Raw genomic sequence first — 13,246 nt, 5'->3', positions numbered from 1 at the left:
ATAATACAAAAAGCAAAAAAATAATACAAGACTCATAAAAACAAAACCAAACAAAACAAAATGATAAAGGATATAGATATTAAGTAGGTGACCTTTATATGGCAAAACACTCAATGAGTTAATTCTTTACTTTTTTCATTCCATTTGAAAAGCAATGGGGACCATTGATCTCACTGATATGGGGGATACAGAGAAGCCCAGTAATTTCAAGTCCTTCATAAATGCACTGTGTGCACAAATATCACTTTGAGGCCGGGTGCGGTGGCTCATGCCTGTAATCCCAGCACTCTGGGAGGCCAAGGCGGGCAGATCACCTGAGGTCAGGAGTTCAAGACCAGCCTGGCCAACATGCTGATACCGCCTCCCCTACTAAAAATACAAAAATTAGTTGGGCATGGTGGCATGCACCTGTAATCCTAGTTACTGAATCAAGGAGAATCGCTTGAATCCGGGAGACGGAAGTTGCAGTGAGCCGAGATTGCACCATTGCACTCCAGCCTGGGCGACAGAGCAAGACTCTGTCTCAGAAAAACAAAAACAACAACAAAAAAAAACAAGTATCACTCTCATATTTACAGTATAGTTCTTGGGATTGATCTTAACACCAGCTTTAGCACCCCCAAATGGCACATCTGAAAGACAAGGCTGATGGTTGTTATTCCATATAAAGGTTAAAAAAGTAAAATGACAGAAAATGCCACACAATATTAGAAAAACGTGTGATGCTTTAAGCTTGAATTTCTGAAAGTTCAAGAAATAAACCTACCATAGTTTTCTAAACTGTACTTTAAACAACATTTTATTGAACAGAAATTGTTCAATAAAATTGGCTAGCCAAGTTCTAATATATATATTTTATATAATTAATAATAATTAACCAATAATAATAAATACTTCAACCTCTAATCCATAGATTGCAAATACAATGATAGCTTATTTTCTTGGGGAACAGCAGTTGGTGGGGACAGAGGGAATGGGAAAAGGACTTTTGCTGAAAGGAGGGATGACAGGAACACAAGGCTATGGGTGAAAAGAAGAACAAATAGAACAAACAGCAGAGAGGGCAGCTGGCCGGGGTGGGGTGGGCGCCTCCCTGGCCTTGCTCCAGGACTCAGGACTGGGTCCTGCCTGGGCCACCCCTCCTGCCAAGGCCCTGGCCTCTTCCCAGGGTGACTGGTCCACTCCTAGACCCTAGAACATCTGAAGGGCAGGGGTCCCAATGGCCTGAGAGGGTATGGGCCAGGGGCAGCAGGCTGACCCACCTGGGCCCAAAAGCCACCTGTGTTTGGGGGCCGGCATGCTGTCTAGAGAGAGTGCCCTGGGAAAGGGGCACACGGGAGTTTCTCTCCTGAGAAGCCCCCATGCAGGTCGGGGCAAAGGAGAGGGCTTTATCTGCCTTGAGGGCAGCGCTCCCTAAGTGAAGCAGGCCTACCCCAGAAGCACAGGGACTTGGCTGGCGCCTGAACTTCCTGTGCGAAGCAGCACCTGCTCTTGGAGCCCCTTAGCCTGCTGGTGCACACCTGGTTTCCAAGTCCTGCCTGGGGACTTGCTAGGTGGGGGACGGACCTGGAACAGGACCCTAAGCCCACCCCCTCCGCATACCTGGCGGTCCAGGGCTCCCCGCCCAGTGGAGCCAGCACAGGCTAGCCAGGCCCCACTCCTGCGTCACCCCCGGAGGCCAAGCTCCTCTCCTGCACTGGTGCCGTCCTGCCTGGCAGGTAGTTCTGGGGGCAGGGTCAAAGGAGAAGGGAGGGCCGCAGCCCTCTGGGAATGGCCTTTCTGAGCCACCAGTGGCTGGACTGGGGCTCTGGCAGGAGTTGGGGACATTAACAACACCCCCATCCTCCCCTGGGCTCCACCTCATCTGACGCTCCAGAACCCCCTGCCCCAAGCCCCTACACACTCTGTTCTATTCCTCAGCCCCTCTCAACGTCCTGGCACCATGGGGCCCAATGCCTGTCCTCCCTTGAGAAGGAACAGCTCTGGGGCAACGGGCAGCGGGGTGCCCTCCCTGCCACCAAGATTTGGTGCCTGGAGCTGGTGGAGGGCTGGCCGCATCTCTCTGGCACACCAGCTCCTGCTCCCCCAACCTATGGCTTTGGGGCAGAGCCTGAAGGGAGGAAGAAGGTGGGGGGGGGGGTCCGCGGCTGTTTGTGGCAAATAAGCTTTTTTTTTTTCCTTTTTTAATCCTTTTTCTTATGTAAAAAGTGCACAAAAGCTCGGCAGCCTTTGCAAGTGTCAGCAGTGTTTCCTGGGGTGGGGGAACTGGGAGGGGCACCAGGCCTGGCACCCACCTTGCGACTGAAGGTGGCCTCGTATTGCTTAGAAAGGTATGTTTCAGTTTAAATACCAGACAGTAAAAATAGAGCTCGAGGACCACCTGCACTGTTGCCAAATCATTGCCAGAATGAATAGCTTAAATAAATAAAAAATAGAAATATTTACTTCTCAATAAAAATAAAAGTAAAACCATTTACCTTTCTTTGCATTATATATAATATATATTTATAACGGGTCTGGCTGTGGGCAGCGGAGCTAAGGGCAGCGGAGGGGTCAGGACATCTCGATGACCTCCACGCTGCCCGAGAAGCTCGCCTGCTTGCCCATGGCGGCCAGCTCCTCGCCGCGAGTGCGCCCCTCCAGGATGCCCTCCTCGAACTCCATCTGGCAGCTGCAGCGCTTGATCTGCGTCTCCGTCTCCGGGGCGGCTCGTCGGGCCAGTTGGTCCGCGCGTCCCGGGGCTCAGCCCTTGCTGCCTCCGGCCGCCGCAGGTCGCTGCCGCCGCCCCGTCTCGGGGCGCCCGCCTGGCCAAAGGGCGCGAACAGCACCCCGCCCGCCCCCTGCGCGCCCTCGGGGCTGAAGCACTAGGGCCCGTCGGGCGACGGCGTGCCCGGGGAGTCAAGCGGTGGCGCCCAGACTCCGGGGCCGGCTGGCCAGGGCCGGGCAGCCTGGGCGCCGACAGGGCCGAGAGGCCGAGGCTGTGCGCGGGGGAGCGGGGAGCCGGCTGGGGGCCTGGGCCGCCCGCAGGGCCGTGGGCGCGCGGCATCCGGGCTGTCGGGGCTGGGCGAAGGTAGGCTCAGCGTGGCTCCGACGGGCCGTGCAGCTTGCAGAGCTTTGGGACCTCGCCGGGGTCGGGTGACCCGGGGCCGTTGGGCCGCCGGCCGGGGGTGTTCGCTGATTTGATGTACAGCGAGAAGGAGCGCTTGAGGCGGTTGGTGTCCTGCAGGCGGTCAGAGGAGAGTACAGGCCGCGCAGCCCTGCTGCAGCGCGCAGGTGTCTGGGGGCGTGGGGGGCAGTGGGGGCTCCCCGCCCGCGCTCAGGCCGCCCTCCCTGGCAGCTGCACTCCCGGTGGCAGCGCTTTCTGAGGTAGGTGGTGGCAGCCATGGCAGCCGGGCCCCAGCCGCAGGGCTGGGCGGAGGCTCCGGCGTCCCTGAGGGGGTGCCCGCATCCCCCTGCACGGTGGCCAGCAGCTTCAGGCTGCGCTCCTACTCCAGCAGCTGGCCCAGGAAGTTGAAGTTGGGCGAGATGGACTGGCGCCTATCCTTCATGAACCTGTAGGTGTCGTCGGAGGATATGCCCATGGTCTTCATGATGTAGGCGATGGCGATGGTGGCAGAGTGGGAGATACCGACCAGACAGTGGACGATGACTTGGCAGCTGGACAGCTTGCCTTTACAGATGAACTCCATAGACTTGTCCAGCCAGGGCAGCAGCTTTTCACAGTAGTTGTCGTTGATGGGGACCCGCATGAAGCGGCTCTCGCAGATGAAGTCAGGCTTGGGGCAGGAGTTGCTGGCATTGAGGACGTAGCTTATTCCATTCTGTGTCGTCAGATCCTTGTTCAGAACGTCTTTCTGCGAGCCCAGGTAGAGGTGAGGCAGGATGAGGGTCAGGCTCACGCTAGGCACGGGCAGGCAGGGCTGGGAGAGGCTCATGGGTAGCAGGGCAGCAGGCTTGCCCTGGCAGAGGCTGGGGAAGCAGGAGGAGAAGGTGGCGAAGCCCCCCGTGAGGATGGCCACGCTGTCGAAGCAGCTGTCCAGCTTGCTCAGCAGGATGGAGAGGAAGCGGTCTGCGGCCAGCACACTGGCGTCCCGTGTGCTCTGGTCATAGACCACCATATCCTGTGGCTCAGTGGCCTCCATTTGGCTGCGTGTGGCCAGCCAGATGAACTCTGCAATGGTCACCTTGCCCTTCTGCAGCCGGCACTTCACCAGCTTGGAGCAGCAGATGTTGACGGAGCTGAGCACATGCCAGCTGTTGTACTCCAGGAAGGAGCGGCTGTAGATGACCAGGCACCCTAGGCCCGCCCCGCAGCAGGCTGGCCAGCTTCTTGGCGTCCATCATCTTCCTCGGGAGCCGGTCTCCGGCCATGGTGGGGCAATGGGTGGTGGGGAGGGTGACCCCTGACGTGAGGAGGGGTTGCTCGGATGGCCCAAGTGTGGCCTTGCACTGGGAGTGACCTAGCACATGGTGCCGGACCTCGTTAGCGCTCGCCTCGGGGGGCGTTCCGGGGGACCCGCGCTGCCCTCGCCAGCTCGGCTGCGCCGACCATGGGCCCTTTGGCGGGGGCCCGCGCAGCCAAGGCAGGGGCGGGGTCTCTAATATAGAGTTAATCAGTGCTCTTTACAACTTCTAAAAGATAATAGCTTATTTACTATCCTTCTACTATAATTTGGTCTTATTTATAGAATATGTTGAGGAATTGAAAACAAAGATCTAGACTTAAAATTCAATAAGCTCCTATAAAAAAAATCCCTCACATAAAAAAAGGCTATATATTAATTTAGACTAATTGAAAAATGATGCAGGTCTTAAAGAGGACAACTTAAAAAAAATCAGTTCTGATAAGGTATATTTCTATAGCATCTTAACAGTAACCATGTGAGTAAACATATTTCCCCAGAGTTCTCATTAGGTAGCAAGAAAGGCGATCACTTACCAACCACTGCACACTTGTATGTCATCAGGGAAGCCAAAGTTTTTACTTCATCTACACTCACATCAATGCTGTAATGGATATTTGGTGGTGTTTTTTTTAAAAATGTGTTGGGGTAGGTGAGAAAGAAGGGGATATATTTAGAACAAACTTCAGTAAGTTTCAAAAAAGAAAGCTACAAATTGAAAATATCCACTTTTTACATTTTACACCCAAGCTATGTCCAAAAACACTTGAAGCAGCTCATATGTCAGAACACCATAAAAAATGAATATAAAACGTTTAAAAAACTGCTAATAACAGTAACTATGATTTCACAAGACAAAAATCACTGTGCAATGAATTTTTTTACACTTTCCAGAAGGCTTTTTTATGTTCCTTTTACCTTTTGGTTTGGGTGACTCCGGGGTGGCCAGGACCAAATGTGTCTCCTTCTGGCTTTTTGCACCACACCAAGTAACCCGCGCCAGGCCGCACAGCTGCCCTGGCCTTGGGGAGGACTAAGGCAAGGGCGGTGTACGCTGCTCCGGAGTCCCACCGCAGGAGTTGAGGCAGCGAGTTCCGAGGGCGGGGTGGGGCGGAATCGGGAGGGATACGGACCCGGTGGAACGCACTGCGTAGACGGCGCCGGCGCCCGCACTCAGCTGTTGACAGTCTTTCTTCCAGCTCTCCCCTGAAAGTCGTCCAGGCGCCGGTCTCTTTTTTCTGCCTTTTTGTTTCCCTCCGGAGAGTCGGCGCGACGGTGAATTTCCGTTTCCGGTGGTGTCCAATCCGACCTGAGGAGTCACAGTTGTGAGCAAGTTCGGTGCCGCGGGCTGGGGTAGGCGGCAGTGGGGTCCCTGGCTTTGGGGCACTGGGAAGATCGCGAGTGGGAAGGTCCTCCCGCGGTCCTCCGGGTCATCTTTCCTCCTGAGGAGCAGCATATTTCGCATCTGCCGGAGGTGTGCCCGGGGTCGTTGGGAGAGTGACGGGATGAATTGCTGCAGAGAGCCCGGACGGGGAGGGAAGGTGTCGGGGAGACGTCGTTTCCTGGCGACGTGGTCCCGGCCGGCGACTTAGACCTGAGCCGAATCTGTTGACCCCAAATTGTGCTTTTCCCACCAAGAAGAAAAGGGAGAGAAACATTAGTACAAGTTCGGAACTAAAATATAGTAGAGAAGCAACATAACCTCGGAAATCACACAGCTGTTCGGTTTCAAAGCGTTCCTAGTGCCCAGCTCTCCTAACTCCCGGCCAGTGTTCCTTGACATATGGTGATATATAAAGACTTTCTGTTTCCGCTCGTGTGTGTGTCTGTGGGAAGCCTCTGACTCACTTCTGTGCCCCAGTAGCACCCTGTGCAGCCTTGCAATGTAGCCCTTATTGCATGGCACGGAAGATACTAGTTTGGATTTCCTCTGCAAGTCAGATCATAGCTATATCCATTTACTGGCACAGTGGCTAGCACATCATAGACAGACACAAACATTTACTAAACGGAATGAATACAGGACCTTAATTGAATGAAATGGCACCCTGCCCCGCTTTTTTCCAATCAAGCTGTCAGATTTTATGCAGCTGGATATCCTTAAAAAACTCACTAATTCAGTGATTACCAATTTATTGGCCACAGATTCCCAGGTACCTCAGAAATCACTGGAAGGGTCTCTGTAAGTCCATGGGGTCTCCAGGCATCATCTAGAACTAGTCATGTCTCACACATACAGATATTGCTATTTTTCTTTCTTTTTTTTTTTTTTTTTTTTTTTTTTTTTTTTTTTTTTTTTGAGACGGAGTCTCGCTCTGTCGCCCAGGCTGGAATGCAGTGGCGCAATCTTGGCTCGCTGCAAGCTCCGCCTCCGGGGTTCACGCCAGTCTCCTGCCTCAGCCTCCCGAGTAGCTGGGACTACAGGCGCCCGCCACTACGCCCAGCTAATTTTTTTTTTATATTTTTAGTAGAGACGGGGTTTCACCGTGTTAGCCAGGATGGTCTCGATCTCCTGACCTCGTGATCCACCCGCCTCGGCCTCCCAAAGTGCTGGGATTACAGGCGTGAGCCACCGTGCCCGGCCTCTAGATATTGCTATTTTTCAAATGTATGTAGAAGAGTTGTAATTTAGGAGTTTTGCAGAGTCAACAGGTACTAAAAGTAATACTGTGATCATGTTGGAAGTTCATAAAAGCATTTTAAATTTTTTATTAAAATTTAAGTTTTAGTTTAAGTTAGGAAACCACTTCATTAGTCCAGTTGATATCTAGGTCTGAGCTGTCCAGTATGGTAGCCACATGTGACTATTTAGAGTTGGAATAAAATTAATTAAAAATTCATTTTTTCAGTTTCTCTAAGTACATTTTAAGTAACCACATGTGGCTAATGGCTAAATGGCTGAAAAGTACAGATATAGAATGTTTCCATCCTTGCAGAAATGGATACTGCTGATGTTGACACTTAAGATGAATAAAAAGTAACTTAACCATAAAATGTACCCTTAGCAGAGGTAACTCATCTAATTTATAGCATAACAGAGATAAATGAAATTGGGGAGGGTTAAGCAGTTTCTACCCTTGTTCAGTGAACAAATATATCATCTCTTCATAAAGAAATAAATAAAATTTAATGTTTTTGCCCTGGGTATTGCCTGGATTGTAAAATGCTTCTCCCACCTCCTTACCCCAACCTTCTTCCTTGTAGATTAGAATTACTTGTTATTGGTAAATAGCCACTATGGAGACTAAGGACCAGAAGAAACAAAGAAAGAAAAATAGTGGACCCAAAGCTGCAAAGAAAAAGAAGCGGCATCTGCAGGATCTCCAGCTAGGAGACGAAGAAGATGCCTGGAAGAGAAATCCCAAAGCTTTTGCATTTCAGTCTGCTGTGTGGATGGCTCGATCCTTTCACAGGTATGTTTAGCTACAGTCTGATGCTTCTTCCATTGATTCTTTTTAAATAGTAGGAGCCTCTCACAGGTGACATTTGGATTCACAAGTCTAGTCCAGCTCCAAAGGACATGGAGATGCATGCTGTGTGGCTTTTACCAAAACATGAGAGGCTTTGCTATAGAAGCTGCCTTGCCTCCAGCATCTGCACACTGGTTGGTGTTTCTTGCCCAAGATACAAGAATTTATAGAATTTGTTTCCTCCTAAACTTTAAACTGTTTCTATGGTGATAAGTGTGCTTTTTCCCTCTGGATACGTTTTACAAAGTTGTAATATAAAATACAAAAATTACAATATTTATTACTAACATAGCTTTATTTAGTGAGTCCTTGTGATATTCTTAGCAGTGTACTTTAAACGTTATTCAACTAAATCCTTCCAGCAGCCTTACCAGAGTAGGAATCATTCTTGCCCTCATTTTATGGACAAGAAAACTGAGGTCAAGAAAACAAGTTACCTCCAATAATATAACCAGTAAGTAGGAGAGCCAAATTTAACTCCAGAGCCTCTGCTCTTATCCATTATGATGCACTGCCTTGGTATTTACCTTTTGGTTTTTAAAAAACTATTCAAATCACCCATAAAACAGTCAGATTTAAGGTGTGTTCAGTTTTCAACTCTATATACTATTGAAGTCGTCTTGTTACATCTTTATCCAACAGCAATTATTTGGATGGGGGTGAGAAGTTAAGTTAATAATTGACAAGTTCATTATATTTATATATTGTCTGTTGTACTCTATAAAATATACTAAAGTACTCATATCTATAAGTATACTAAGAAAATTCTACTTATAAGGTTGATACCTTTTTCTCTATTTTGAAAGTGAGTTTACTTTTTTCTTTTTTTTAATGAATAGGACTCAGGATTTGAAGACAAAAAAGCATCATATTCCAGTGGTTGATCGAACTCCACTAGAGCCCCCACCAATAGTGGTAGTGGTGATGGGGCCTCCAAAGTTGGAAAGAGCACTTTGATACAATGCCTCATTCGGAACTTCACCCGGCAGAAGTTGACCGAGATCAGAGGCCCTGTGATGATCGTGTCAGGTAGGAGATGCTGCCACAGACACAGAGTTGGCGTGGCTATTGTCATCTGAGGGACATGCATGTGTTTGTTGCTTTCTTGAGTGGAACATGTTAAATTTTGTCATATCATGTTACCTCTCTTATACTTTACTAAGTTAGCTATAACTTCAGAAAAGGGTAAGTTCCCAGAGATAAGGATGTGATACATATCTTATCCTGAGTGCTCTATGGCTTTGCCAAGCATGTTCCTTGGAAGAGGGTAGCAGGCCTGGTCACTGTGAACATATCATTTAACAGACAGCACGTACCTCCTATGTGCCAGGTGCATGCACATCCTTGCCCTTATGAAGCCACATGCTAGTGGAAGTGCGCGTTTTCTCTTTTTCCTGTGAGAATTTGTCTGCTTTGGGAGATGGTGACCTTTCCAAGTTTGAGGAAAGATGAAACAAACTTCCAGTGGTAGAATGCCAATGTACACTCAAGTCTCTTGTTATTGCAATAATATAGTTGGATTGAGGCTTTTCTTTATCTTTGGAGCATCCATATTTTCTTTTTTGAGACAGTCTTACTCTGTGGCACAGGCTGGAATGCACTGGCGTGATTACAGCTCACTGTAGCCTCAACCACCCAGGCTCAAGCAATCCGCCTACTTTAGCCTCCTGAGTAGTGGATGCCACCACGCCTGGCTAATTTTTCTTTTTTTTTTCCTTTCTTTTTTGTTTTTGTAGAGATGGGGTTTCCCCATGTGGCCAGGCTGGTCTCAAAACTCCTGGGCTCAAGGGATCCACCTGCCTTGGCCTCCCAAGGTGCTGGGACTACAGGCGTGAGCCACTGTGCCCTGCCCATATTTTCTTGACTGTTTTCTTTTTACCTTAATTTAGAAATGATTATCGTTATGAATATTCTGTTGGATAATGTTTGAGGATGTTTTTAGTGATAGTGGGAATATGGGAAGTTTTGATAGAGGCAAAGACATTGGCCTACAGCTGAACAGCAGGATCATGGTTATCATGGAGCCTGTCCAGTCAGAATTTTCCCTGTTTAAGCACTTGTATTCATCTGGGTAGACTTTGGATATTATTTAAATTTAGAACACAGCAAGAAAAACAGGATGGAATTTATTTTATTTTACCGGTAAATGTGAACTTCTCGTACACTCCTGTAAACGTATATGGTGTTTTACTGGATACAGGTAAAAAATGAAAGTTAGAGTTGATGCTTAGAGTTTTTTCAGGGTCTTTTTAAAGTAAAATTTTCATCTTTTCACTTATAGGTAAAAAGCTCCGACTCACCATTATTGAATGTGGGTGTGACATTAACATGATGATTGATCTGGCTGAAGTAGCAGATCTGGTAAGTGAGCAGGGGCAGCCTGGGGTGCTGATGGAGACTTACAGCATTGTGATAGGTTATTTACCCCGTGATGAAGGGAATAGAGTTTTATGATTATTAAAGGAATCATGGTCATCATCAAGGATACAATAGATGTGATTGAATTGATGATAATAATAATAGTAATAAATGTTGTTATATTAATAATACAAATGGAATGTGTACAATAAAATGTATTCCAAAATCTAAAAGCAAATCACAGGATAGAGAAAACCTTTAATGAACACAGCTAATAAGAACTCATTAACATGCATACATATATACCTACAAATATATCATAGTAAGTACCATTTCTTCTTGGACCCTTCCTGGCACTGTGCTAACTGCTTTCTACAAATTTAGCTTACATAAACCCTTGATACACCCTTGAGGTGAGTAGGTATTATCTGTAGTTTACATAAGATGAAATAGAGCCTCCCAGCAGTTAAGTAACTTGTGTGAAGATGGGACCCTTGTTCCTAATGGTTCTAGAACCTTTATCCTTAGTGATAATAAGTAAGTACATGAATTGCCTGAAGAAGTGGTCAGAGTTTATCATAGAAAATCTAGATAGTACTCAGTGTGTGGAAAAATGTACACGCTCTTGCATTTATGGAAATGATAATGTTCACTATTTCTGATATTCTATTAACTATCTTTTTTTTAAACTATCTTTTAAATTAACTAAAATAAAATACAAATTACCAAAAAAAAAAAAGAAAGAAAGAAAAAGGCCAGACGCAGTGGCTCATGCCTGTAATCCCAGCACTTTAGGAGGCTGAAGTGGGCAGATCACCTGAGGTTGGGAGTTTGAGACCAGCCTGACCAACATGCAGAAACCCCGTCTCTACTAAAAATGCAAAATTAGCTGGGTGAGGTGGCTCATGCCTATAACCTCAGCTACTTAGGAGGCTGAGACAGGAGAATTGCTTCAACCCGGGAGGCGGAGGTTGTGGTGAGTCGAGATCCCGCCATTGCACTCCAGCCTGGGCAACAAGAGCGAAATTCCATCTCAAAAAAAAAAAAAAAAAAAAGCAAAAAATAAGCCATATTGATTAGGAAGTGTGGGATGACAGATACCTTGGTTTTTTCATTTTTATTTAGTTTTTTCTAGAGCTACAGATTTCATACTTTGGCCCAGGAAGACTCCTAAAATATAAAGTAAAAGGTAATACAGATTTTAAAGTCGTGCCATTGTAATGTCTGTAATGTCAGAAAACTAAATAACATTCAAATTTTGAACATGTAATGCTACTATTAGTAAAAATAAGTGTTATTAATGTAAAGTTGTGTAAGGATTACTAAATCTTGTATACTTGAAATGATTGAATAGTTCATAGAAGTCATTTGTTTCTCTTTTATTTAAGATGTAGCAAGTTTCTAATTTTAAAGACATATTAAGAGATGCCTTTACTTTTTTTTATTTTTAGTTATTATGGATACATAATAGTTGTACATATTTATGGGGTACATGTAGTATTTTGATAGAAGCATACAATGTGTGATGATCAAATCAAGGTAATTCAGATGTCCGTCACTTCAAACATTTATCATTTTTTTGTGTTGGGAACATTTCAATTTCATTCTTTTAGTTCTGAATTATATAATAAATTATAGTCACCCTATTGTGCTGTTGGACACTAGAATTTATTCTAACTGTATTTTTGTACCTGTTAACCTTTCCCTCTTTTTCCCTCCCTCCCTGCTCCCCTTCCCAGTCTCTTAACCATCATTGAGAGAGATGCCTATGTAAATCTTTTTAAGATTTTCAAAAGGAGCACACACATTTGGTAAAGCACTCTAACTGTAATGCAGGGTATACACAATGCACATTTTCTTTTTCCTTGCTCTAAGGCTGGTCTCTCAGGTCCCTGCAGAGCAGTATCCTTCCAGATACATATAAACACACATGCCACCCTTTAAAAACACAAATGGTAGCTTATTTTACACGCTGTTCTATGCTTTGCTTTTTTCATGTAATATATCTTGGAGGTATATAATCAGTAAGTACTGTAGCTCTGCCTCCTTCTTTTTAATATAATATTCCATTCTGTGGACGCACCATAATTTATTTAGCTTAGCTTATGTTGATTGCTCTGCTCTGGGTTTTCAAAGCCTCCTGAGTACAGCAAAGGCACAAACGATATGTGGATTTGGGTGTGTACGTGTGTGTGTGTGTGGATTATGGGAGTAACACTGGCTTAGATGACAAAGATTGGCAGCTGAGGGACTGTTTGCTCCCTGTTCTTCCTGATCCTACAACCAGCTGCTTGCCCCTTGGCACTCTGTGGCATCAGATGTGGTGTGAGGATATTCCACTTATTCTTTGAGCTGGTCCACTGTTGCTGGAGAGCTCTGCTTGCTGCCTCGGTTTCCAGAGGCATCTGTGCTTTCCTACAAGCCCAACTTCATATATTCTGTGGTTTCGGGTTTTGAATGTTTCCTAGTTTAATCAAAGATGGGCATTTCTGTTTCCATTTTTTGTTAGTTTTAGTTATCCATGGAAAGATAAAAACAGAACTATCTTTAATATTAAAACTAGAAGTTTCCAGGAATCAATTCTGAAATTTGCATCTTTGAAGTGTCTTAATTTTAAAAATTGGTCTTATCTGCTTATATTTTCTTATAGACTACCATTCATCGTAATCTTACTGTTTTTTGACTTAATTCTAAACTGGTAGCTATTTAAAGAAATTCCTGAGCAATTGAGTTATACAAATTAACATACAAGATAGAGGTATACACTGCATACTTCCCAGCAAAAAAAGTTTTTTTTTTGTGAGGACATTGAAAGAAGAGGTTGGTTTTCTGTACATATTAAATATATTTCATTGATTATCACTTTCTTCCCATTCTTTGGATGTCAGAGACCTGTTATTTGGCTTAAAAATACATTATAGAAAACTTCATTTCTTTAAATTAGGATTTCTTAGGTACGGGCCTGGTTAGATCCAGCCTTTTCTGAGTTACTTCTCATGCATTAGAATTCTTAAA

General features: G+C 45.8%; 4 pseudogenes across 5 annotated transcripts in view, besides 2 other annotated features; 2 read left to right on the top strand and 2 right to left on the bottom strand.

Annotated features, from left to right (window-relative positions):
- On the bottom strand, positions 855-4,595 carry DUSP8P5 (dual specificity phosphatase 8 pseudogene 5; annotated as a pseudogene).
- Positions 3,542-4,262: an enhancer, noted in NCBI's record as "H3K4me1 hESC enhancer chr10:75491691-75492411 (GRCh37/hg19 assembly coordinates)". NCBI's record gives its function as "activates a minimal SCP1, AML or CMV promoter by ChIP-STARR-seq in naive H9 embryonic stem cells {active_cell/tissue: H9 hESC(naive)}" and the evidence as "EXISTENCE:reporter gene assay evidence [ECO:0000049][PMID:30033119]".
- On the bottom strand, positions 4,424-5,633 carry GLUD1P3 (glutamate dehydrogenase 1 pseudogene 3; annotated as a pseudogene). Its single transcript, NR_048575.2, has 2 exons — positions 5,322-5,633; positions 4,424-5,007 (listed from the first exon to the last, which is right to left on the bottom strand). The product of NR_048575.2 is annotated as a glutamate dehydrogenase 1 pseudogene 3 (transcript).
- Positions 5,643-5,892: an enhancer, noted in NCBI's record as "active region_3568". NCBI's record gives its function as "activates an Ori minimal core promoter by ATAC-STARR-seq in GM12878 lymphoblastoid cells {active_cell/tissue: GM12878}" and the evidence as "EXISTENCE:reporter gene assay evidence [ECO:0000049][PMID:35858748]".
- Positions 5,681-13,246, top strand: part of BMS1P4 (BMS1 pseudogene 4) — a 31,364-nt pseudogene continuing 23,798 nt past the window's right edge. The window contains exons 1-4 of the transcript NR_026592.2: positions 5,681-5,756; positions 7,608-7,816; positions 8,713-8,902; positions 10,155-10,234. The product of NR_026592.2 is annotated as a BMS1 pseudogene 4 (transcript). The remainder of the gene's footprint in view (positions 5,757-7,607; positions 7,817-8,712; positions 8,903-10,154; positions 10,235-13,246) is intronic.
- The window catches only part of BMS1P4-AGAP5 (BMS1P4-AGAP5 readthrough), a 56,232-nt pseudogene continuing 48,674 nt past the window's right edge, over positions 5,689-13,246 (top strand). The window contains exons 1-4 of one of the 3 annotated variants that reach the window (NR_160426.1): positions 5,689-5,736; positions 7,608-7,816; positions 8,713-8,902; positions 10,155-10,234. The product of NR_160426.1 is annotated as a BMS1P4-AGAP5 readthrough, transcript variant 2 (transcript). Of the gene's footprint in view, positions 5,878-7,607; positions 7,817-8,712; positions 8,903-10,154; positions 10,235-13,246 lie in introns of all 3 variants that reach the window. The other 2 variants (NR_160425.1, NR_160427.1) reach the window with 2 other exon arrangements.

Source organism: Homo sapiens, chromosome 10 (genome assembly GCF_000001405.40).
Source record: "Homo sapiens chromosome 10, GRCh38.p14 Primary Assembly".
Lineage (NCBI taxonomy): Eukaryota > Metazoa > Chordata > Mammalia > Primates > Hominidae > Homo > Homo sapiens.
Note: the sequence above shows the minus strand (reverse complement) of the source record. Positions and strands in the feature narration are given on the sequence as shown.